The sequence below is a fragment of the Homo sapiens genome, chromosome 1, assembly GCF_000001405.40.
Source record: "Homo sapiens chromosome 1, GRCh38.p14 Primary Assembly".
In the NCBI taxonomy this organism is placed as follows: domain Eukaryota; kingdom Metazoa; phylum Chordata; class Mammalia; order Primates; family Hominidae; genus Homo; species Homo sapiens.
Genome location: NC_000001.11, coordinates 4006794 through 4031313, shown reverse-complemented (window position 1 = coordinate 4031313; position 24520 = coordinate 4006794). Strand labels below are relative to the sequence as shown.

Sequence of the window (24520 nt, the reverse complement as noted above, 5' to 3'; positions counted from 1 at the left end):
CAAAGTAGGAACATAAGGGAACTTCCTCGACCTGATAAGGAACATTTTGCAAAATACTTACAGCTACCATCATATTAAAAATGACTGAATGCTTTCTCCCTAAGATCAGAGACAAGGCAAGGATGCCCACTTTTATAACTCTTATTCTTCATTCTGTGGAAATACTAGGTAGGGCAATAAGGCAAGAAAAATAAATAAAATGCAAACAGATTGGAAAGGAAGAAATAAAACAGTACCTATCTGCAGATGATATGATTGTCTCTGTAGAATGAACTGTGACTATACCCCCAAAAAACTAACAGAAGAATAAGTTTTTCAAACTTGCAAGATGCAAGGTCAACACACAAGAAGTCAATAATACTTCTACATAACAGCAATGAACATGTGGAAACCAGAATTTAAAAGTTAATATCACTTACAAATCTCTTAAAATATAGGATAATTGAAAATAATCTAACAAAACACATACAATATCTGTATAATGAAAACTAATGATGCTTACAAAAGAAACTAAAAACTGCCGGATGCGGTAGCTCATGCCTGTAATCCCAGCACTTTGGGAGGCCAAGGTGGGTGGATCACCTGAAGTCAGGAGCTCAAGACCAGTGTGGCCAACATGGTGAAACCCCATCTCTACTAAAAATACAAAAATTAGCTGGGCATGTTGGCAGGCGCCTGTAATCCCAGCTACTCGGGAGGCTGAGGCAGGAGAATCACTTGAACCTGGGAGGCGGAGGTTGCAGTGAGCTGAGATCGCGCCATTGCACTCCAGCCTGGGTGACAAGAGCGAGACTTCATCTCAAAAATCTCAAAAAAAAAAAAAAAAAAGAAAAGAAACTAAAAACTTAACGAAACATGGAGACATAACATGCTCATGGCTTGGAAGATTCATGTAGTAAAGATATCAATCTTCCCCAAATGGATCTATAAATTTAATTCAATTCCCACAAAAATCCAGTAGGATTTTTGAAGACATAGACAAACTGGTTAAAAAAGGAACTAGAGTAGCTAAGACAAATCTGAAAAGGAAAATGGAAACAGGAAGAATCACCCTACAGATATTTAGGCTTAATGGGCTTCAGCTACAGTAGTCAAGACTGGGTGGTATTAGCAGTGGGCCAACACGGAGATCAATGTAACAGGACCACACAAGTACAACTCACTGACTTTTCACAAAGGTACACATGCAAATCAATAATGAAAGGTGGTCTTTTCAACAAATGGTATTGGTCATCCATAGGCAAAACACACACGCACACACAGACACACACACACCTTAACCTACACCTCACTTTTATACAAAAATTAACTCAAATGGATCAAAAATCTAAATGGAAAATGGGAAATGTAAACTTTTAGAAGAAGACATAGGAGACAATTTTTACCACTTAGGTTTAGGCAAAGAGTTCTTAGCCATGACACCAAAAGCATGATTCATAAAACAAAACAAAAAAAAAAAGACAAATTAAATTTTGGCAAAATTCAAAACGTTTTCTCTTCCAAAGACACCATTAGAAGAATGAAGAGAGAAAATATGCATAAATCACATATCCAAAAAAAGCCTTATATTGAGAATATATAAAGAACTCTCAATACTCAACAACTCAATTTTACATGGTCAAAAGGCTTAAACAGGTGCTTCACCAAAGAGGTTGTGTGGATGGCAAATAAGCACAGGAAATGAAGTTCAACACCATTACTAATTGGGAAAATGCAAACTGAAATCACAATGAGACATCACCACTGCCTTAGCCCATTTTGGCTGCTATAACAGAAAACCACAGACTGGGTACTTTATAAAGAACAGAGATTTCTTTCTTACAGTTCTGAACCTGGAGTGTCTAACATCAAGGGGCCAACATCTGATGAGGGCCTTCATGCTGTGTCATCCCACATCCCAGAGGTGAAGGAAGAAGGACAAAAGAGCATGCATAGGAGAGCAGGCAGAGTGGGATGAACGAGCTTGCCATCAGGATCCCACTCCCACAATAATGGCATCAATCCGTTCATGAAAGAAGAGCTCTCATGACCCAATCACCTCTTAATAGTTCCACCATAACAGTTAAATTTCCACATGAGTTTTGAAGGAGACATTTGAAACACAGCAACCACATACCTTTAGAGTGGCTAAAGTCAAAATATGATAATATCAAATAGCAGCAGGACATGGAGCAACTGGAGCTCTCATCATTATTCACGGGAATACAAAACGGTATAGTCATTCAGTAAGACAGTTTGGCAGTTTTTTTATAAACTTAAACATACACTTACCATAGGACTCAGTCATCTTTCTCCTAGGCATTGTCCCTGGAGAAATAAAAACTTAGGTTTGCACAAAGACCTGTACGCAGATATTTAAAGCAGCTCTACTTATAATCATCAGAAACTAGAAACAAGCCAAAGGTCCTTCGGGTGAATGCATAAACAAACTGATGTGTGCATACAATGCAATTCTACTCAGCAACAAAAAGGAGGGAACTCTTGAGCCACAACTTGGATGAATCTCAGAGGCATCTTGCTGAGTGAAAGAAGCCTGTCTCAAACAGCAACAGACATGCAACATGATTCCATGGGTATGGTATTCTCCAAAATAGAAACCCATGGTGATGAAAGACAGATCAGTGATGGCCAAGGGTGGGATGACGGGGAGATGCTGACACAGAGGGTAGCATGAGGAGGCTTTGTGGGACGATGGGGCTGTTCTGTGCCCTAACCAAGGTGGAGTTTTATGCGTCTATACATGTATTAAAATTCATGGAACTGTAAACTAAAAAGAAACCTATTTTACTATAACAATTTTTTAATTGTGTAAAAGGAGGAATGACTTAGGTTTTTTTCAAACAATTTTTTCTCTCCCCTAAGAAAACTCCCACCCTCAGCTGTTAGAAGCTCACCTTTTCTTCTCCCCACATTAGCTTCTCCTTCAGCGTCTATAAGGGAACCACTGGCCTATCTAGAGGAGAACCGATATGGCCCCTATGGCCTCCTGGGATGCCGCAGAAGCAAATCTCCTTTCGTACATTCACATTCACAGGCTGCCTCTGAAGATAGGAAGGGCTTGCTTAGTTGGACCCTTTTAAAGAAGTTTTGCAGTTCACTTTCCTGGGCTAGTGGAAAGACGAGATAGTTAGGCCTCGGAACCCAGAATTCACTCTTGCCCCTGACATGGAATTGGGATCATGGCTCACTGCCTTGGCCTGGGAGAAATTTCAAGCCAGGTCAGAGGGAAGGACTGCACCAGGACAGGCTGTTGGGGCTGGAGGGACCCGGAAAAAAAGAAAAAAAGAAAAAAAAAACTCATCAGGCACAGCAGCCTCCACTGCATCTGAGTCTGGGGCTGGCCCTCCCACTACGCAGACATTGTCAGCACGCTGAGGAGGACCCTGCAGTGGGATCGTGTCCTTGGAACCCCAGCTCAGCTCCATGAATATCCTAAGCTACCAGTTTTCTCCAGCAAAGCTCAACAACCCTGGGCACTCCTCCAGGTCTGGATATGGAGGGTGATTCTCAGGCAGAGCAGAGCAACCCCACACCTTTTGGTGGGGCGCCTGGAAACTCAACAGCGAAGGGACCAGAAAACAGGAACAGAAACCCGGCTGTGCTTTGATCGCACCTCTTTTCACCACTCCGATGCTCTCCCCGCCCCCACCCTCCCACGGTGCCCGACAGAAGAGGGGGTGGCTGCGGTGATGCAGCCGGCGAAATAGCTTCACCTGCAGCTGTTGTTTTAATGCTAACTTTTCAGCTATTCCCAAGGCCAGGCTCGAGTTTGATTAAACTCCATTCTTGTACTTTCTTCTCTGCCCAAACCCATCTTGCTGAGGCAACATAATAAAGTGCAGTAAGTGGCTTCGATCGCTCACCAGAAAGTGATTTTCTCAACAAGGGCTGAGGGCGATTTGGGTTCCCTGGGTCCCTGAACCCATTTGCTGGACTTGAGAGGTTTTTTTGAGACCGAAGTATTTTGAAGTATGTTTTGAGGCTAATGTATTTCCATCTCTCCCTGGATCGGAGATTTGTGGAGTTTCAAAATGCGTGTTATAATAATAAACACAAGCTTGACAGTTTACTGTCTCCCTGGGGAATCCAGGCCTGTGCCACTTCTCCCCACAGTGCTGAAGACATAAATAAATGCAACGGCAGCCACGGCGGCACCAGCGGACCCCAGATTATTCCTGGAGGACAGCCGGCGTCAGGGGCCGCCACGGAAATGGGGGTCTCCATCAGGAATAGTAGCCTGGAGAGTTTTCAGATGACAGTGCCCCCTGTCCCCAAGGTGGGATCATGGCATCATAGACAAGCAATGTGTGGTTCCGGTGCCAGGGATGGAAGTTTCTGGAGCACTCACTGCCCTGGCCCCTAATCTGGTGCCCCAGCTTCCAGAATCATCTCCTACCACTCCATCCTCCACGGAACCCCATGAGCTCCCAAAGCCCAGCTGCGGTCTCGTCATGTACCCACTTAAAACGCAATAGCTCCCAAGGCCCCCTGGGAGAAGACCAAGCCCCACTGTGGGACACGGACAAGCCGTCCTCAGTATCCACGTGGAATCTTTTTTTAAAAAGGGGGCGGCTGGGCGCGGTGGCTCACGCCTGTAATCCCAGCACTTTGGGAGACTGAGGTGGACAGATCGCGAGGTCAGGAGATTGAGACCATCCTGGATAACACGGTGAAACCCCGTCTCTACCAAAAATACAAAAAATTAGCCGGGCGTGGTGGTAGGCGCCTGTAGTCCCAGCTACTTGGGAGGCTGAGGCAGGAGAATCACTTGAACCCTGGAGGCAGAGGTTGCAGTGAGCTGAGATCGTGCCACTGCACTCCAGCCTGGGCGACAGACCGAGACTCCATCTCAAAAAAAAAAAAAAAAAAAAAAAAAAATGGAGGCTACTCCTTTTTACTCCTTTTTTAAAAAGGAGATAGAAAATAAAACATGGTCATGGTGGGGTTGGGGTAGGAACTGGAGACATGTGAGCCAAGGGATACGAAGCAGATACAGAGGCTGAACAGCTCTAGAGGTCCAGTGCACAGCCTGAGGATGATACTTCATAATACTGCATTGCGCTCAGGATTTTTGCTCTTGCCACCAAAAAAAAAAAAAAGGTAATTATGCGAGATAATATGTTAATTTGCTTGCCTATCATAACCATTTTACTATCTATATGTATCAAAATATCATGCTGCACATCTAAATTTATACTTATAGTATTTTTATCGTCTACTATATATTTTTTAAGAACTCAGCAGTTCCCCATGGTGGTCTCTGTCCTCACCCAGCTCCCAGCCTCCCTCTCCTCTCCTCTCTATACATGCTCTGCACCCCAGCCTGCCAGACATTTGCACCCTAACGCAGCACAACTGCACCCACGGCCAGGCTTTTGTCCCGGCTGTTCCTCTGCTGGGAAGGACCTGCCTCCCACATCCTGCCCAACCTTCCCTGCCACGATGACTTTGTCCATGGTCTGTTCCTGACAACCACATGGCATTATACATAGGTGCCTATGTGTCTTTTGTGTCTGTTTCTTTTTTTTTTTTTTTCCAGCTACACTAGGAGCTCTCTGGGGGCCAAAACCACTTCTCTGGATCCCAGGACTTCATCAGCATCTCCTGAAAGATGCAGAAAAACAGAAAACAGAGAAAACATACATTTTACAAATATCTCCTGTGATCCTGAGAACTAGAGGCTATTAACATCTGACTCTTCTGCCAGGTCCCTTCCTCTGCCTAGTCCTGTCTGTAAAATTGGTGCCCTATATTCTATTCTCCTTTCCAACCTTTTTTCATGGAGCAATGCAGCATGTCAGTAAACATCCTATGGTTTCAGTCAGCAAGTATCAGTTCGTGTTAGTAAATATCCTATGGCTCCAATTCATTTATGCAGCCAGTCCCCTATTTTAGACATGATCTTTTCCTATTTTTCAGTATTAAAGACCCTACTGCAGCTGGCATCCAGAGTGTACAGCTCAATGCCTGTTTGAAGTGCCCCTTAGGATAAATAAATTCCTAGAAGAGGAACACTTCTGGTTCAAAGATACATACATTCCAAGCCCTTGAGACAGAGGGATGAATGGATGGATGGATGGATAGATAGATAGATAGATAGATAGATAGATAGATAGATAGATAGATAGATGATAGCTAGATAGAGATGATAGCTAGATAGATAATAAACACATGACAGGTAGACAGATAGATGATAGATAGATAATAGGTAGATAGATGACAGATAATAGGTAGACAGATGATAAAAGATAGAAAGGTAGATGATAGACAGATGATAGATAGTAGATATATAGATGATATATAGATAGAAGTTGATAGATAGATGATAGATAACAGGTAGAAGATAGATAGGTGATAGAGAGACAGATGATAGATAATAGATAGAAGATAAATATATGACAGATTGATGAAAGGATAGATGATAGAGATGACAGATGATAGATAGATAGATAGATAGATAGATAGATAGATAGATAGATAGACAGATAGACATAAGGAGAATTGGAGAGTGATCAAGACATCTGTGCTGACTTCCTGAAAGCTGACCTCACTATCTTAGTTTGGACCGTCATAACAAAATACGAGAAACTAGCTGCTTAAACATTTCTTCCTCACAGTCAGTTCCTGGTCAGGGCTCTCTCTTGGCTTGCAGACAGCCACCTTCTCACTGTGTCTTTGCACGGCATTGGGCAGGGGTAGGGGAGCAGTAAACAAGTTCTCTTGTGTCTCTTCTTATAAGGGCACTAATCCCATCATGGGGGCCCATCTTCATGACCTCATCTAACCTTAATCACCTCCTAATCACCAGCCCCACCTTCTAATAGCATCACACTGGGGGTTATGGCTCCCAAATATGAATTTTGGGGGAACATAAACATCCGGTCCATACCACCCCCTGCCCTCCCCACCAGCCAGGATCAGGGGTGCTCTTTCCACCACAGCGCCAGCACAGGAACCCAAATCTGGTCATGCTTCCTTCTCATTGGGCCAGAGACAATCAGCTTCTTCAATGATCACCCTCCTCCCAGGTTGATATGAGGCTTTTAATGGGTTGAAATATAATGGCCCCAAAAAGATATGTCTAAGTCCTAATTCCTGGTACTTGTGGCTATGACCTTATTTGGAAAATGTGGCCTTATTTTGTGGATGTAATTAAGTGAAGGATCTCAAGATGAGGTTATTTTGGATTGCCCAGGTGGGCCCTAAGTCCATGGATGAGTGTCCTTCCAGGAAACACAGAGGAGACACACAAGGGGCAGAAGGCCATGAAGACAGAGACAGAGGTTGGGGCAATGTGGCCACAGCCACCAGAAACTCCAGGGGACAAGGAAGGACTCTCTCCGGAGCCTCCAAGGGAACATGGCCCTGAGGACGCCTGGACTTTGGACCTCTGCCTTCTGAAACAGTGAGAGAATACATTCCTGTTGCTTTAAGCCCCTTGGTTTGTGGCATCTGTTACAGCAGCCCCAGGAGACCAACACACAGATCCCGCGCAGGGCGGTGGAGGCTGAGGACTCACCTCCCTGCACACCTGTGACTCCCAGTAAATAAAGAAGAGGCATGCTGTCAGAATGGAAGTTCATTTTGTAAGAAAACCTTGTTTTAAAGAGTTTAATTTTTTTTCTGGTTCCCTTGGAAAAGTAGTAAGACAATAGATTTCCCCATTCCAGGCAGAAAAAATGTACATCAATGTGAATGGCAGAGGCTTAATTTGTCCCGATCCTACATGTTCCATCCTTCCAAACTATTAAAATTTTTAATCAAATATTTTGGTTATTAAACTGTCTGAGGTTGGCAAAGGTTTGCTTTTATCTTATGTTAAACTCCATCATGGTCCAAATAAAATGAAATTAATTTGAGATGCCAAAAGAAACTCAGGTCAATAGAGTATTAATATTTCAAGCTACAGGAGCCAGTGTGTGGCAGGTGCTAGGAGGGCCCACCTGCTCCTCCATGCCAGCCCCTGGGTCACGGGAGCTGCAGGGCACAGTGGCAGGTGGGCTCAGGGGCCCACACAGGAGCCTGGAGGCCAGGAGCTGGGGAGAGGAGGTTCATGGAGACCCTGGACCAGTTCAGGCTGAGCTGTTGGAGAAAGTTTCCAACAACACGAGTTCCTGTTCAAATGCCCACCATGTGCCCTCTCCAAAGTGACTTTCCTTCTCCTCCACTTCCCTGATGAGTCCTATGGGTGCCTTTCCATTTCTCCCCATTTCCTCCTCAGTCTCTCAGCAGCCTAAGGGCCAAATTCTCCTCTGCTTCCTTCTGGCAGGCTCCCCGGGGCTCCACCTCAGCAACCCGGCTCCCATTGCCTTCACGACGGCCCCAAGCCAGCCTTCAAGGTCACCGCTCGCAAAGGAGGAGGGTGCAACGCAGCACAACCGCCCGAGTTCCAGCAGCATGAAGTTCCACTTTATTTCTGTCCATGGAACCAGCAGAGCCTGTGAGCCCACAGCAGAGTCACCCGCATCACGTCCCCAACACACTGGGAGCCAGGACCAACAAGGAGTCGCTAAATCAGGGTTGCTCTGCTCAGCGCCACTGACGTTTGGGGCCAAAAACCTCTTCATTGTCCTGGACATTGCAGGCTGTTCAGCAGCTCCCCTGGCCCTACTTACAAGATGCAAAAGAAAGTTGTGCCATGATGCTTTTGTTCAACAAAGGAAACTGAGGCCCAGGAAGGGGCCAGACCTATGGAAGTTCACACTCCGCACTGTCTTCTCAACCCCCTGCCTCTGCAGCCCAGCACCTTCACCACCCCGCATCCATCCTAATCCCTGTCCTTGAAGATCCGCCCTCGAAGCAGACACTGTGATGGTGAAAGCAAACCAGCCCCGAGTGTGGCTGAGACCCCAGAAGGGAGGAGGGTGCCTTCCTCTCAGGACACAGGATAGCGTGTCTCCCACCACCCTAGGGGAGCCCCAGGATTCTCCCACATTCTTGGTCTTGGTGGGGTGTGATCCTGTGATGGTTAATTTATGTGTTAGCTTGGCTAAGCCATGGTACCCAAACATTTGGTTAAACAGTAGTCTCAACGTTGCTATGAAAGGACTCTTCAGATGTGATTAACTTCTTTTGTTTCTGGAGATAGGGTTTTGCCACATTGCCCAGGCTGGTCTTGAACTCCTGGACTCAGGCAATCTGCCTGCCTCAGCTTCCCAAAGCGCTGGAATTATGTGCCACTGTACCTGGCCAAGATGTGATTAACATTTAAACCAGCAGACTCTGGAGTGTGAGTGGGCCTTGTCCAATCAGGTGATGGTAAAGATGGAGGCTCCCGCAAAGAGGAGGCGTTCTCCCTGCAGTCTCATCAATTCATCCCTGGGTCTCCAGCCTGCTGAGTACCACTTTTTGGACTTGCCAGCCCCACAATTACATGAGCCAATTCCTTGTAATCTCTCTAGCACTCTCCCTCTCTTTCTCCATATCTATATCCAATTGGTTCATCTCCAGAGAAGCCTGACTCATACAGCTTCCATCTCAGGCAAGACAACAAGAAGGAGACTCCTCCTCTGGGGCCTGGGGGAGAGCTAGCACACAGGCAGGCTGACCCTGAGCCCCTGCCACCCATTTCCTCACTGGGCAGCTAGGTCCACTCTGTGATGTGGGCCAGGCAAGGCCCCCGCGGGCTCTCTGGCTCTGCCCTGGGGAGGTCAGCTCGGTCTCAAGGGACTTGCTGGCGAACACACACAGACTGCTCATCTCCCACATTTCCAGTTTCCTTGCAGGGATGCAGCCCTTGAAATACATTTTCCTGAGTTAAGAAAGAGAGAAATAAAAGGGGGCAAGCCAGCTTCAACTTCACTTGGCATTGCCCACCCAGAGCCCAGGGACTGGCACTAACGGACAACGGGGATGGGTCTGTGTCCCCGATGGGCAGCATCTGTCTCCACTCAGATCAAAGCTGCAAGCATCTCGGGACAGCTCCAGGCTGAGTGGGGAGAGGCAGGAGCAGATGGGTGCCAAGCGTGGTCCCCGCCCTGCACAGGTCGCCCCGTGCCCCCGTCTGCCCATGCAGCTTACTTCTCCCAGTCTCTGTCTGTGCCAGAACTCTCCTGATGGCTTCCGGGCTGCCCGGGGCTAGGCATGACCCTTGTCCACGCATTTTCTCTCATCAGTCTTCCTGACTGCAGGTCAGGGTGAAATTCTGCCACCCTCACTCTCACTCCATCCCCTGCCTCCCTCGACCCCCTGCTCCCAGGCTGCAAGGGTTGCTAGGAGGACCCCGGCCATGTCTACAGTGGCCCTCCCCAGCCTTCTAAAGCTGGAGTCCAGCCAAGGCCAGGAAAGAGAGTGTCTGTCATCTTGGGGGGCTCTGCTCACAGGCTCCAGATGACGCCTGAGTCCACCATCCTCTGCCTCCCTCGCCCCCAGCAGACATCAGCTGGATATCCTCAGTGGCAGGCAGGGAGGCCATGGCCAAGATAACAGAGTCAGAGAGCTAGCCTCAGAGAGCTCAGCCCTGGGAGCGAGATCCTTCTGTACTAGAACGTGCACAGGTTCAGTGCATAATTCCTCAACCCACAATTTGCTCTCTGCCCTTGCACTGTCCACAAGGGCAGGGCAGGGGCAGCAGCTTCTATCTCAGTCAGATCCCTATTAGTCATGGGCCGTCATCCTCTGCATGTCCACCACGTGCCTTACAGAGAACCGGAGGCCCAGTCCCAACCTCGCCCATCCAGCTGATGTCTGCTGGCCCCATGCACTGAGCGTGCAAGCTGCCCCGATCCAGTCCCTGACTCAATGGGGCTTACCTCAAGTGAGGGAGATGGCACTTGTCCACTACACAGATAGGTCAGGCCCTAAGTGCTCATGAAGGGAACTGGTGGGGAGGTGATGGAGAATGACCGTGGAGGGGGAGGAGGGAGGTGCCACTTCCAGAGAGAGCTCAGGGAGCCTTCTGAGCAGGTGATGATAAGCTCAGCCTGGGGAGGAAGAGCTGGCCACAGACAGAGCCAAGGAGAGAGCCACAGCCAGAGCCATGAACAGAGGAGAGAGCCCCAGGAAAGTTCTGAGGCAGGGGAGCACGGGGCATACTAAAAGACAGACACCAGGCACAGGGTATGGGGAAGAAGGCGCAGCTGGGCTCACACCAGGTGAGGTGACCAGCTGGGATTTCACCTGCCAAGCAACAAGAAGCCAGGAAGGACACTAGGCAGAGACGGGGCTTCTGGATCCACTGTCAGTGACCACATAGGAGATTCCTGCAAGGAGTGGGGGTTGGTGCTGGAGAGAAGAGGCTGGACTCACTCATTCAGCCAACACAGGCGCATGGTCAGGAGGCAACACTGGGGCCACAGGGACAGGACAGGGAACAAGCAGACCCCACCCTCTAGACCTAACCTGTAGACCACAGACATAGTGTGAAGGTCACAGAGAGGGGGCTTGATGTGTTGGGGAGAGACAGAGAGGACCTGAGGGCGTGTCCTAGCGTGTGGGCGCCAGCAGAGGAGTAGGATGTGGTGCCATTTACAGAGACTGGAAGGCCGGGGGCGGGACAGATTGAAGGGACCAAAAGCAGGTTGAGTCTTGCGGAGTCTGGGGTTCCTATGAGACGCCCAGTGGAGGGGCCAGGCAGGCACCTCCGCCCAGGAATCAGGCTCTCCAAGGAGAGGTGTCTGTCGCATCAAGGACAAGGAATCCCGGTGGGAATCCTCAGCACCAAGACCTGGGTAAAGCACTGAGATGAAGCGATCAGGGCTGGAAAACCAGGAAACCAGGAAACCAGGACTTTCACAGCAAGTCATTTAGAAAACATAGACTCACTCACAGATGGACTGCGATGCACGAGGGCTGAGCCCTGAGAGGAAGAGATCAGGGCTGGAAAACCAGGAAACCAGGACTTTCACAAGCAAATCATTTAGAAAACATAGACTCACTCACGGATGGACTGCGATGCACGAGGGCTGAGTAGATCTAGGCTGAGCGAGCAAGGGGAGGAGTGGGAGTGTGAGATGGGGCGGGAGAGGAACGGGAAGGAGGGCGTGTGAACAGAAGGCTCACGATGGGCGCCAGGAGCTCAAGGAGGCAGCTGGGAGGGGCATGGGCGATGGGCAGCGGGGGTGATGAGGCCGGTTTGTGGGAGGAACCGCACTGTGAGGAGGGGAGAGGATCCTTCCAGAAACCCTCCCAGAGAGGCTTGCCAGGTGGACAGTGGTGGGCAAATGTTCGTGAGAAGCACGGATGTACTGTAGCAGGGAAGAATGGGAGCACTCCAGGACACAGCAGGATGGCGGCCACGTGCTGGCCGCACCCGTGACTCGCACACAAGGGCATGGTGCCATCTGCCCAATCCTGCCCTTGGCCTGACATCCAATGGGGAATGTGGACGTGGATGTGCCCCGGTCTTCTCAGCTCAAGGAGTCGCCACGAATCCACTGGAACAGACGCTGTTGGCCATCCCTGAAACATGCGGGTGTCATGCTCCGGCTCCTGCTGACTCAGGGCAAACCTGATCCTAGCCAGAGGTGGAGCATGCAGCCAGGAAGAACATGGACACGGTATGTTCACACACACGGCGCTCGGCCCACCACTCGCCCACGAACATTTTTCACGCCACTCAGCCAAAGGCAAATGCCTGCCCTACGCAAGACCAGCTCAGAAATCCATGACTTCCAAAGTTGGCTCTGTGATTATCAGTGCGTGCCAAGGAGCCTGTGTCTCCCTGAGATCTGAAACCTTGGCAGGAAGCTGAGATGAGAGATTGTTGCAGGGATGGTGAAGAACTGGTATCCTTTGCAAGAAAAATACTAACTGGTGGCTCCGCCGTGCTTCATTTCTGGCAGAGCCCTGACTTGGATGCACTCTGACTGTCGAACAATAGCCCTAAATGATAGAAGGTAAACCTCCATTTTAATAATTCATCTTCTTGGGTTTGGTTGTGCTTGATCAAATATACTAAACTTAATAAAATAATTTGTCAAGGTTACGGCATCTTAGTACAAAAAATAAAAAAGCAAGATCCCTGAATTGTGCTCAACACTATCCCCAAGCTGAGTGATGTGCATGTGTGTGCATGTGTGTGTATGTGTGCGTGCATGCATGTGTGGTTGTGTGTGTGTGTGTGCAGATATGTGCCCAAGTGGTGGTGCATGCAGGGATACATGAATTTTAGCCAAGATCTGTTGCAAAGGGAAGCACAAAGCTTCAATGTGCAAGCCTCAGAGGAAGTTGCTAAACGCCTCCATCTTCCAGTTTGGAAACTAAAACTCGGCCATGGCTCTCCCCTCTGAGAGGCACCATAGCGCGGCTACCGGTGCGGCCACTGCCACCATGCTGCTGAGTCCATATCTTTGCCCTGTGTCCCTGGACAAATTTCTAACCTTTCTTCCCTTTCCTTAGTTGTGCAGTAAAGATGATAACCATCATAGTACTGACCTCGTGGGGCTGTGTTAAGGCTCAAGGCTTGACAGAGTATTCTGTCCATCCCAGAACTCGCCCAGTCCTGTGTCGTTGCCACTGGTCTTCCCAGGTCCCCATGCCCCATCCAGATTCCACAAAGAGCAGCGTTTCAGGACCTGCGACATCTATGGGGTGGTGACTGCCATGAGAAGAAGCTCTTCAATGAAAGAGCTTCCTCCTGGTCCAAACCTCCCACACTGCCACACAGAGGTACTCAAAGCCACCCAGACCAGGTTCCCACATCATGGTCTCAGCCTATGTGGGGACACAGGATTTGGGAGGGGAATGGGGCAGAGGCAGAGGGCGCCACTGGGTCCCGGCCTCACATTTACAAAGGTCTCCAAAGTTAAAGTGTTGATGTTGCCTCCGAATATTTATAGTCCTGGAGATATTTTGTCAGAATTTAGAGGAGATTCAAAATCTGTGTCCCTCTCTCAGGCCATACCCCTATAGTGCTCTCAGAATTACTATTTTTAAATAAATCCTATAATTAGCTTATAAATTGCTATGGAAATATGGAACATGAAATGTGGAAATTACCTTCAAATTATCTTTTTTGTTAAAAACTTATATTTGCTCAATGTAAATATATTAAATCTACCACCATTTTGATATCTCTGTTTCAGAGCTTTTCTTTTTGCTTTCGTTTTCTATCTGCTTGTTTGCTTGCTTATTTTTGAGACCACAGATGAAGAGGGTGGAGTTAATCACATATTTATCCTATTGTAGCGTATTTTCACCATGGATCTTTGCAAGGTTCCCAGGTCATTTTGTTGTCTACACATTCCTTTCCGTTTCTCCCCACCCTGACTCTCACCTCCTCCCCTCCCCCCGACTCTCACCTCCTCCCCTCCCCCAACTCTCACCTCCTCCCCTCCCCCAACTCTCACCTCCTCCCCTCCCCCAACTCTCACCTCCTCCCCTCCCCCAACTCTCACCTCCTCCCCTCCCCCGACTCTCACCCCTCCCCTGCCCCTCACCCCTCCCCTCCCCTGACTCTCACCCCTCCCCTCCCCTGACTCTCACCTCCTCCCCTCGCCCTGGAGGCAACAGTTTTGCTCTGATTTCCGAGTAGTTGCTTCTGCATTTCATGTTCTTACAAAATAGGCATTGCAGTCTTATTTGTGTGTATGTTTTGTTTGCATAAATGGTATTGCATTATATACCTCATTCTTCTCCTGACTTTTTTTCTCTCTAAAAATCCACTAGGTTCTGAAGTCTCACCCGTGTGGCAGGGGCACATTTGATCCAGGTTCCCATGGCTGCACGTGGCTCCAGCATGATCAGCCACGTTTCACCTGCACATTCTTTCTCTGATGGCCGGCACCCGGCTGCCTCCAATGCTCTCCCACGTACGTTCTCCACACGGAACAGCCTCAAACCCGTGGACCGCGGCAGATCCCATGGAATGCCTCTGGGTTGTATACTCAGCAGCGTAACCTCTGGATCATAGCATCAGGAGCCCCAGATCCTTCTGGAAAGGCTGAAGCATCCACACTCCATCAGCCACCATGAACTTGCCTGCAGAACCCATCCAGGCCAACATTTGGCTTAACCAGCTTTTTAACTGTTTGCCAGTCCAACAGCTGGACTGTTTGCCAGTCCAACAGCTGGAAAGTGGCATTGTGTTCTAGTTCTCATGTGTGTGATTACTAATGACCTTGAGCTTCTCTTTATATGCATACTAGCTTTGGGGTTTTTCTTTCTGTCATCTGTCCGTATCCCTTGCCCATTCTTCTGCTGCGGTTGCTCTCCTTGTCTTTTTGATTGGCTGGAGTCCCTTGTTAATCCCTCATCAACTATTAACATTGCAAATATCTTTTCTCATTTGTTCAGCTGTGCATTAACTTTGTCCATCTTGTCTTTCATTTAACAAAAATCTCTAACTCTGACATAATGAAATGTGTCAATGTGTTACCCTATGGTTTGTGCTTTCAGATTTTTATTTAAGACATTCCTGCTTATAAGTAACAAAGATTTTTCTCCTGTATATTCTTTTAACTTTTTCTTTTGCTACTAGGACTTTAATTTAACTAGAATCCAGCTGTGTATATGGTGTTAGGTAGAATTCACGGTTTTTAAAAAAAATGTTTTATCACAGATTAGTACTGCTATGGTTTGAATGATTATCCACTTCAAAACTCATATTGAAATTCAGGCTGGGCGCAGTGGCTCACACCTGTAATCCCAGCACTTTGGGAGGCTGAGGTGGGCGGATCACCTGAGGTCAGGAGTTTGAGACCAACCTGGCCAACATGGAGAAACCCTGTCTCTACTAAAAATACAAAAATGAGCCGGGCATGGTGGCATATGCCTGTAGTCCCAGCTACTCGGGAGGCTGAGGCAGGAAAATCACTTGAACCTGGAAGGCGGAGGTTGCAGTGAGCCAAGACCATGCCACTGCACTCCAGCCTGGGCAACAGAGCAAGATTCTGTCAAAAAAAGAAAAAAAAAAAGGGAAGGAAGGAAGAAATTTAATTGTCATGGACACAGTATTAAGACGTAGGACCAGGTTAGGCATTGTGGCTCACACCTGTAATCTTAGCACTTTGGGAAAACCAAGTTGGGCAGATCACCTGAGCTCAAGAGTTTGAGACCAGCCTGGGCAACACAGTGAAACCCCATCTTCACCAAAACAATAAAAAATTAGCTGGGTGTGGTAGAGCACACCTGTGGTCCCGGCTACTCCAGAAGCTGAGATGGAAGGATCACTTGAACCCAGGAGGCAGAGGTTGCAGTGATCTAAGATTGTGCCACTGCACTCCAGCCTGGGTGACAGAGAGAGACCCCATCTTTAAAAAAAAAAAAAAAAAAAGGTCTGGGACCTTTGGAGGTGATTAGGCAATGAGTGCTCATCCCTCTTGAGTGGGATTCGTGTTTTTATAAAAGGACAAGTTCATCCCCTTCTTGCCCTCCTGCCTTCTGCCATGGGACAATGCAGCAAGAAGGCCCTCACCAGATGTCAGCACCTTGACCTTAGACTTTCCAGCGTCCAGAACTGTGAGAAAATACATTTCTGTTTGTCATAAATTACCTAATCTCAAGTATTCTGTTGTAGAGCACAAAACAGATGAAGATTGATACTGAGATTTATCAAATGCTTTTTCTGCATTGATTGAGATAAAATATATTTCTTTAATCTATTACAATAGTGAATTATATTGAGAGATTGTTAGATATTCCTGGATGAACTCTACTTCATCACTTATTTTTCTTAATATTCTTTTAACTAATTTTAAAAAAAATTAACTAATATTTTACTTAGGATTTTTAAAACTCCATTTATAAATAAATGGGTCTATATATTTTTTAATTCCTGTTGTCCCTATTTGATTTTGAAATCCAGATTACATGAGCCTCACAAAATGAGCCAGACAGTTTCCATTCATTTTCTAATTTTCCAAATATCTTGTATAAAATAGAAATTAACCATTCCTAGAAAATATTATAGAAATCTCCGAAAACAATTATCCAGACTTGGATTTTTTTGGTGCCTTTGACTGCCATTTAACTTCTTTCACATGCATTCATCTATTCAAGTTATCTGTCTTGTCTTTCACAAGTTTGGCATTTTATGCTTTTTATAAGAATTTGTCCGGCCAGGCACGGTAGCTCACACCTGTAATCCCAGCACTTTGGGAGGCCAAGGTGGGCAGATCACCTGAGGCTGGGAGTTCGAGACCAGCCTGATCAACATGGAGAAACCCTGTCTCTACTAAAAATACAAAATTAGCTGGGCATGGTGGTGCATGCCTGTAATCCCAGCTACTCAGGAGGCTGAGGCAGGAGAATCACTTGAACCCGGAAGGCGGAGGTTGCGGTGAGCAGAGATTGTGCCATTTTGCACTCCAGCCTGGGTAACAGGAGTGAAACTCTGCCTCAAAAAAAAAAAAAAAAAGGAATTCATCCATGTCATCTAAGTATCAAATTTGTTAAATATGCCTATGCATAATACCAATTAATTATCTTATTTATTCCCCCTCTTGCCCTCCTGCCTTCTGCCATGGGATAATGCAGCAAGAAGGCCCTCACCAGATCCCATTTTTATTGGTCTTTCCAGAAGTCTGTCTAGCATATTAAATTTTTTAAACCAGATTTTGATTTTGTTCATCCTCTGTAGGTTTTATTCATTCTATCTGTTTCTACTCTTATATTTTTCAGCTCCTTTCTTATGTTTTCTGGGAGTGGAGTTGGATAGGTGTTGCTCTCTTGCTCTTTTTCCAGCTGCTTGTGCTAAATAGCTGGCTCATTTGTTTTTCCCATTTGTTGTTTCCTGATGAACGCATTATAATCTTTCAATATCCCTTTAAGAGCTACCTTGGCTTTGCCCGAAGGCATGTCACTGATTTGGGCAGGTCACATTGCGTATACATAGAGGAAGTGCTCACATAAGTAGAGTACTCACTCTATGCACTTCTTTTTTTTTTTTTTTTTTTTTTTTTGAGACGGAGTCTGGCTCTGTTGCCCAAGCTGGAATGCAGTGGCGCGATCTCGGCTCACTGCAACCTCCACCTCCTGGGTTCACGCCATTCTCCTGCCTCAGTCTCCTGAGTAGCTGGGACTACAGGTGCCCACCACCACGCCCAGTTAATTTTTTTGTATTTTTAGTAGAGACGGGGTTTCACCGTGTTACACTCTATGTACTTCCTAATTTCCTTGATCATTTCCAAGGGCTATCCATAAATATATTAATTACTTTCCAAAATATTGGAGTTGTTAAAAAAAATTGTTTTGTTAATTTTAATGTCATTGATTTGTGATTAGAGAATGCAGTTTATTTTGTATTAATTATTAGAACTTTATTGAGACTTCCTTCATGGCTCAGTGTCTGGCCTATTTTGGTAAATGGTGTGTGCGTGCATGGGGGAAAGGCATAGCCTCTGTCTGATGAATGGTAAGTTCTCTACATATCTCATATCTTCAGCTTACTCATTGTATTGATCAAGACTTCAGTATCTGTTTTCTCTGTTCGATCATTAAAAGCTCCAACTACAATTGTTGATGTATGTTTTTCTCCCTGGATTTGTAAGTATTGCTTGATATTTTTAGAGGCTGTTCAATTAGATTGACCCTTGAACAGCACTGGGGTTAGGAGCTCTGCCCCCATAAAGTGTATTGCTTTACACTTTTGACTCCCCCAAAACTTAATTACTAACAGCCTACTGTTGACCGGAAGCCTTACCAATACCATAAACAGTCAGTTAACACAAATTTTATCTGTTTTATAAGTATATACTATATTCTTACAATAAAGTAAGCTAGAGAAAAGAAAATGTTATTAAGAAAATCATAAGGAAAAATATTCACTGATCATTAAGCAGAAGTGGATCATCTTAAGATCTTTTTTGGGTTGTTTTGTTTTGTTTCTTGAGACTGGGTTTTCTTTGAGACCGCACTCCCAGGCTGGAGTGCAGTGGCGCAATCAGGGCTCACTGCAGCCTCAATCTCCCTGGGCTCAGGTCCTCCCACCTCAGCCTCCCGAGTAACTGGGACTACAGGCACACGCCCTGCTAGTTTTTTGTAGAGATAGGGTTTCACTACATTGCTCAAGCTGGTCTCAAACTCTTGGGCTCAAGCCATCCATCCACCTTGGCCTCCCAAAGTGCTAAGATTACGGGTGTTGAGACACCAAAACTGAACCCAGCCATAAAGATCTTCATCGTTGTCGTCTTCACATTGAGGAACCTGAGGAGGAGGAAAAGGAAGAGGAGGGGTTGGTCTTGCTGTCTCAGGGGTGGCAGAGGCAGAGGAAAATCCACATATAAACGGACCCAGCCAGTACAAACCCACGCTGTTCAGGGGTCAACGGTATGTGTACATAATGAATTGATCTTTAATTATTTAGAATTAATGGGTGTCTGTCCTTTTTTAAAAAAAAAATCTTAAATCTTGTTTTGTGCCTTTATCTTGTCAAAATTGTGATAATACCACTCGCTGTATCAGAGAGTTAACTTGCAGATTAAACAGGTTATTCCATGCAATGCATTTTAAACCAGGTCTAGAATCCTGAAACCCTGCTCAGCGCTAACTTTGTTGTTTTTCCTTTTTTTCTTTTTTCTTTTTCTGTTTGTTTTTTTTTTTTGAGACAAGAGTCTCACTCTGTCACCCAGGCTGGAGTGCAGTGGCACAATCTCTGCTCACTGCAACTTCCACCTTCCAGGTCCAAGCGATTCTCCTGCCTCTGCCTCCCAAGTAGCTGGGATTACAGGTGTGTACCACCAAACCCAGCTAACTTTTGTATTTTTAGTAGAGACAAGGTTTCACCACATTGGTCAGGCTGGTCTTGAACTCCTGACCTCAAGTGATCCACCCGCCTCAGCCTCCCAAAGTGCTGGAATTACAGGTAGGAGCCACGGTGCCCAGTTTGTTTTTCCATTTTTAATAGACCGTGAGTCTCAGACACTCAAGGTGGCCAGGGCACCTCTGCTGGGCTCCCACAGGCCCTACCTGGCTCTCCTACCTCTCCTCTCAGCACCAGGGGACTCCCCTCCCTGCAGAAGGTGCACGAGGGGCTGGGGAGGGAAGAGAAAGTGCCACTCTCTAAGACAAATCCCCCTCCTGGAGGAAGCTAGAGGATAAATGTCCTTCCAAAGCCGGATGAGTGAGCGTGGGCCAACCCAGAGGAGAGAATCCAGAGAGACTGGCGATCTTGACAAAATAGACACAGAGCAAGCAGCACAGAATCCACCACAGAGCTGCTCAGCGTGACAGACGGCTGCAAGCAGAAGCCCTCAGATGGGAGTGATGAAGGAGCAGCCAGCCCCCCGTGGAGAGAAGCTTCCAAAAGGATTGCTCTGCTTCGCTGGTTGGACGTCGGCCCACCTTGAGGTCTCTGGACATGCGGGTGGCCCAGAACCAAGTGGCCCAGAATCAGCGGTCACTCATTGACATCCCAGGGTCACCCAAGGTGGGCCCTGGAGTCCGGCATCAATCACTCCCCCAGCAGGGATTGCGACCTCGGGACCCCGCTGCTGAGGGTAACTCAATCACTGCCGGGAGCGCCGGCCCCCACGCAGCTGTCGATCTGAGTGAAACTCTGGGTTTTCATAACACGGGCCCTTCCAGGATGCCTCTCTTCCCAGCTTTATCACCTCTGCCATCCAGCCGCTTTTGAAAGAAAAAAAAATAAGCCAAAGGGGATAATAAGTAACAATTTTTAAAACAGTGTCTTGTTCCTGGTGGTTTACTTGGGAGAAGAGTAACAGATTTGACAAACCATCCCTGGCAGGTTCTGGACTAGACCCCTATCCAGGTCTGGAAGGAATTAGGGTCACCAGGCCCTGACCTCAACAGGCCCAGGGCTTATACAAACCCTGCTCCCCAGGAGTCAGATCACCTGGGAGCTCCTGGGTCCCCGCCGCCCCTGCTGAACCACAGCAGCCAGGGAGAGGCCCAGGAATCTCCTTTCTAAAGTGTGGCCGGTTACTCTGATGCGTGGCTCAGCCCACTGGCCCTGCCTGGCCCCACCACAGCCTCCTCCAGGTCATTCGCACACAGCAGCCCCAAGGGATGAGGCCACCCCTACCTCTTGTTTAAAGTTCTGACCCATAACCCACAGCAGCATTGTCCGAAGTGGGTTCCGATGTGCCTTTTATGGGAGAGGCTCTACTGTCTGGTAAGTCTGGGAGTGAACGCTGGTTGACACCCCAGTTCTCAGGCAGCATAAGCCCCTGTTGCTTCGGAAGGCTCATCTCCAAAAATACACAGAGGCAACGTTCTCAACCCTGAGCTAATGAAATCCCATCCGTCTTTCTCTGAAGATTAAAAATAGGAAGGCAATCAATGAATCTTTTTGTGTACCCTATGGCAAATATTAACTGCTATGTACTTGTTTTATGAGAAACTGGAATAATCCTTTGGGTCCTAGCTAGGCCCCAGCTCCCTGACCTGCAAAATAGGGCTCACTTCATATAAAATATGGAAACCGGCAATGGTTAGGCTCAGAGAAGTCAAGTCACCTGTTTGAGGCCACACAGTTGAGATGTGAACCCAGCCCAGCCCAATCTAAAACCCAAGCTTCTGCCCCCATGCCTGGGTGCTTCCCAAAGATGAAAAACACCAACTGAAATGGAGGGTCAGGACCCAAGAGAAAAGTACCACGACTGATAAGAAGCAGGGACGAGGAGGAGACAAAACTGGCTCCTAGAGGTGAGGCTTCAGATGTGGCTCCAAGCCCGCTCGCAGACCACATGCAGAGAGGTGAACAGGTGGGTGGGTCTCCCTATCAGAAAGGAGGCAGCATATGCGTTCCTGAAAAAGAAAATTCTGTAGCAGTTGACCTGGGAATGCTGTGTGATAAAATAGGAATATAATTCTCAATACTGTTTTCATGGAGAAATACGGCGGGAGGACACCCTGCCTGCAGCTGTTTTTTACAAAGGCCTCCGCAGGCGTCAGTGGCACAGCGGGAAACTGCTCAGTGAGGAGCCATCTTTGCACATGCATGGTCCCGTGGTCTAGACACGTGGACTTCTTCCTCCAGAGGTAGACTTCAGGGTACCCAGAGACATGGACGGACTGCATATCCTGCAAATAATCATCTGTCTTTCAAAAGCAATTGTTGGGCTTTTGGTAGAAGCCAGGGAGCAGAGACACCGTTGTGGCTGGTGATGCATGGGTGCTGTTGGTGAGGTTGACAACCCGGTGTACAGGCAAGGAATTTAATCAAAATTCCTGGTGGGATTAAATGTCTCCATACCTCCAGAGAGACACTACAGGAAACCAACTGTTTATGAACAGGGGTAGTTTGGGCTCCACTTCAAAAGATAAACAATTGTCTGATCACATCCCTCAAATTCTACACAGTAGAGCTTGGCCAGAATTCCCCGGCATGGAAACGCCATTTGCCAACTGCAGCCATGGAGAAGCACCTGGCGCCACCCGGACCGTCTGATTTTAGCCACAGGGAGTCTCCACACACCCTTCAGATAGAACAGCTTAGGAATGAGCTTCCTACAATTGAATAAATCAACTTTCCTTATAGAATTATTGTTGTTCATTTAAAAATCATTAGATCGTCACTTTGCTTAAATTTTAAAAATCCAACAGGATCATAGGATTATTTTCTGTCTTTTTTACTCCTTTATTCTTGGGGAAGAAGTAAAATGTTCTAATGACTTTCTTCTGGCTTAATAAAGAAAAATAACAAATATTATACCTTTAAGAAAACGAAGATGTTGGTTCAAATATTATTGCCACTTCAACACATTATGAAGTAAGACAACTACGCAAAGATGTTGGTTCAAATATTATTGTCACTTCAACACATTATGAAGTAAGACAACTACGCAAAGATGTTGGTTCAAATATTATTGCCACTTCAACACATTATGAAGACAACTTATCAGAATTACAGCTCACTTTTAAGACAAAAGTGACCTTTTCCAGACTCTCTGGAGTCCAGGATCTTGGAAGATGCCTTCATTAGCGGTGACGTTTCCAAGCACAGCTTTCTTTATTGCAGCGTTAAGGGAGGCACGTCAGTATCCTACACGAGAAGTTAGACGGGGCTACAGTTTCCAAGCTAAGCCTGAGAAACTCAACACTAACAACAGAGAGAACGCACGGGCAACAATATCTTAGCAAATAGAAACGGGAACAGAGAATGTTCCCTCCAGTCACACTCAATGACAGCAATCGGATAAGAGTCTGTCACGCCATCACCCGCAGTCAGACGCTGGGGAGAACTGCCAGGCCTCTCTTCATGTGATCCAAGGTGAGGGGTACTAGTCATGTGACCTCCACTTTGCAGGCACAGGGGAGCCACTGGGGCTGGAAACAGGGACAGGTCCAGCTTGGGCATGTGGGTGGCCAGCCTCCAAGGTGATGCTCAGTGACCCCACCTCGTGGTATTCACACCTCCTGCCCAGTTCCTTCCCCATGGCATCAGGACTGGTCTGTGTGATCATCTGGCAAAAGGGTGACGTCACCTCTGAGATTAGGTTATAAAAAGACTGTGGTTTCCTTCTTTGTATCTATCTCTGTCACTCTCCTCTTCCTCTTTTTTTCTCTCTCTGTCTCATCCTCTTTTTATGTCTCTGTCTCCCTCACCTCCCTATTTCTGTCTCTCCCTCTTGTCTCTCTGTCTTTCTCTTCCTTTTTCTCTCTTTTTGTCTCTCTCTGTCTCTCTCACTTCCCTTTTTCTGTCTCTGTATCTTTTTCTCTGTCTGTCTCTCACTTCCCTTTTTCTATCTCTCTCTGTCTCCTCTGTCTCTGTCTCTCTCACTTCCCTTTTTCTCTTTGTCTCTCTCTGTCTCCCACTTCCCTTTTTTTCTCTGTCTCTGTCTGTCTCTACTTCCCTTTTTCTCTTGGTCTCTCTCTGTCTCCCACTTCCCTTTTTTTTTTTTTTTTTTTTTTGAGACAGAGTCTAGCTCTGTCACCCAAGCTGGAGTGCAGTGGCACGATCTCGGCTCACTGCAAGCTCCGCCTCCCAGGTTCACGCCATTCTCCTGCCTCAGCCTCCCGAGTAGCTGGGACTACAGGCGCCCGCCACCACGCCTGGCTAATTTTTTGTATTTTTAGTAGAGATGGGGTCTCACCGTGTTAGCCAGGATGGTCTCGATCTCCTGACCTTGTGATCCACCCACCTCAGCCTCCCAAAGTGCTGGGATTATAGGCGTGAGCCACTGCACCCGGCCTCTCACTTCCCTTTTTTCCTCTGTCTCTGTCTCTCTCTACTTCCCTTTTTCTGTTTGTCTCTCTCTGTCTCTCTCACTTCCCTTTTTTTCTCTGTCTCTCTGTCTCTCTGTCTCTCTCACTTCCCTTTTTCTGTCCTTCTGTATCTGTCTCTCTCTGTCTCTCACACTTCCCTTTTTCTGTCTGTCTCTGCTTCTCTGTCTCTTTCTGTCTCCCCATCTCTCTGTCTCTGTCTCTCTCTGCCTGTCTCACTACCCTTTTTCTGTCTCTCTCTCCCCACCCCTTTCTCTCCTCACTCTCAAATTATGGGGACAGCAAGCAGTCATGCTGTAAAGCAGCCTTACAGAGAGGCCATCAGGCAAGGAGCTGCATCCTGGGCCCAGCCGACAGCAAGTGAGTGGGCCTGGAAGCAGCCCCTCTGGCCCCAGTCGAACCTTCAGACGAGGCAGCCTTGGCTAACAGCTTGATGGCAACCTCGTGAGAAACC

The 24520-nt window shown here is 47.2% G+C and overlaps 1 long non-coding RNA gene across 3 annotated transcripts in view, besides 2 other annotated features; it reads right to left on the bottom strand.

The window, feature by feature from the left end:
• Window positions 4302-4802: an enhancer, noted in NCBI's record as "H3K4me1 hESC enhancer chr1:4086572-4087072 (GRCh37/hg19 assembly coordinates)". NCBI's record gives its function as "activates a minimal SCP1, AML or CMV promoter by ChIP-STARR-seq in primed H9 embryonic stem cells {active_cell/tissue: H9 hESC(primed)}" and the evidence as "EXISTENCE:reporter gene assay evidence [ECO:0000049][PMID:30033119]".
• LINC02780 (long intergenic non-protein coding RNA 2780) overlaps window positions 18610-24520 on the bottom strand; it is a 36615-nt gene continuing 30704 nt past the window's right edge. For 2 of the 3 annotated variants that reach the window (NR_186587.1, NR_186588.1), the window contains exons 3-4: window positions 21496-21648; window positions 18610-20505 (exon numbers count right to left, since the gene is read on the bottom strand). This is a non-coding gene — a long non-coding RNA (long intergenic non-protein coding RNA 2780). Of the gene's footprint in view, window positions 21649-24520 lie in introns of all 3 variants that reach the window. The other variant, NR_186585.1, reaches the window with a different exon arrangement.
• Window positions 19743-20243: an enhancer, noted in NCBI's record as "H3K4me1 hESC enhancer chr1:4071131-4071631 (GRCh37/hg19 assembly coordinates)". NCBI's record gives its function as "activates a minimal SCP1, AML or CMV promoter by ChIP-STARR-seq in primed H9 embryonic stem cells {active_cell/tissue: H9 hESC(primed)}" and the evidence as "EXISTENCE:reporter gene assay evidence [ECO:0000049][PMID:30033119]".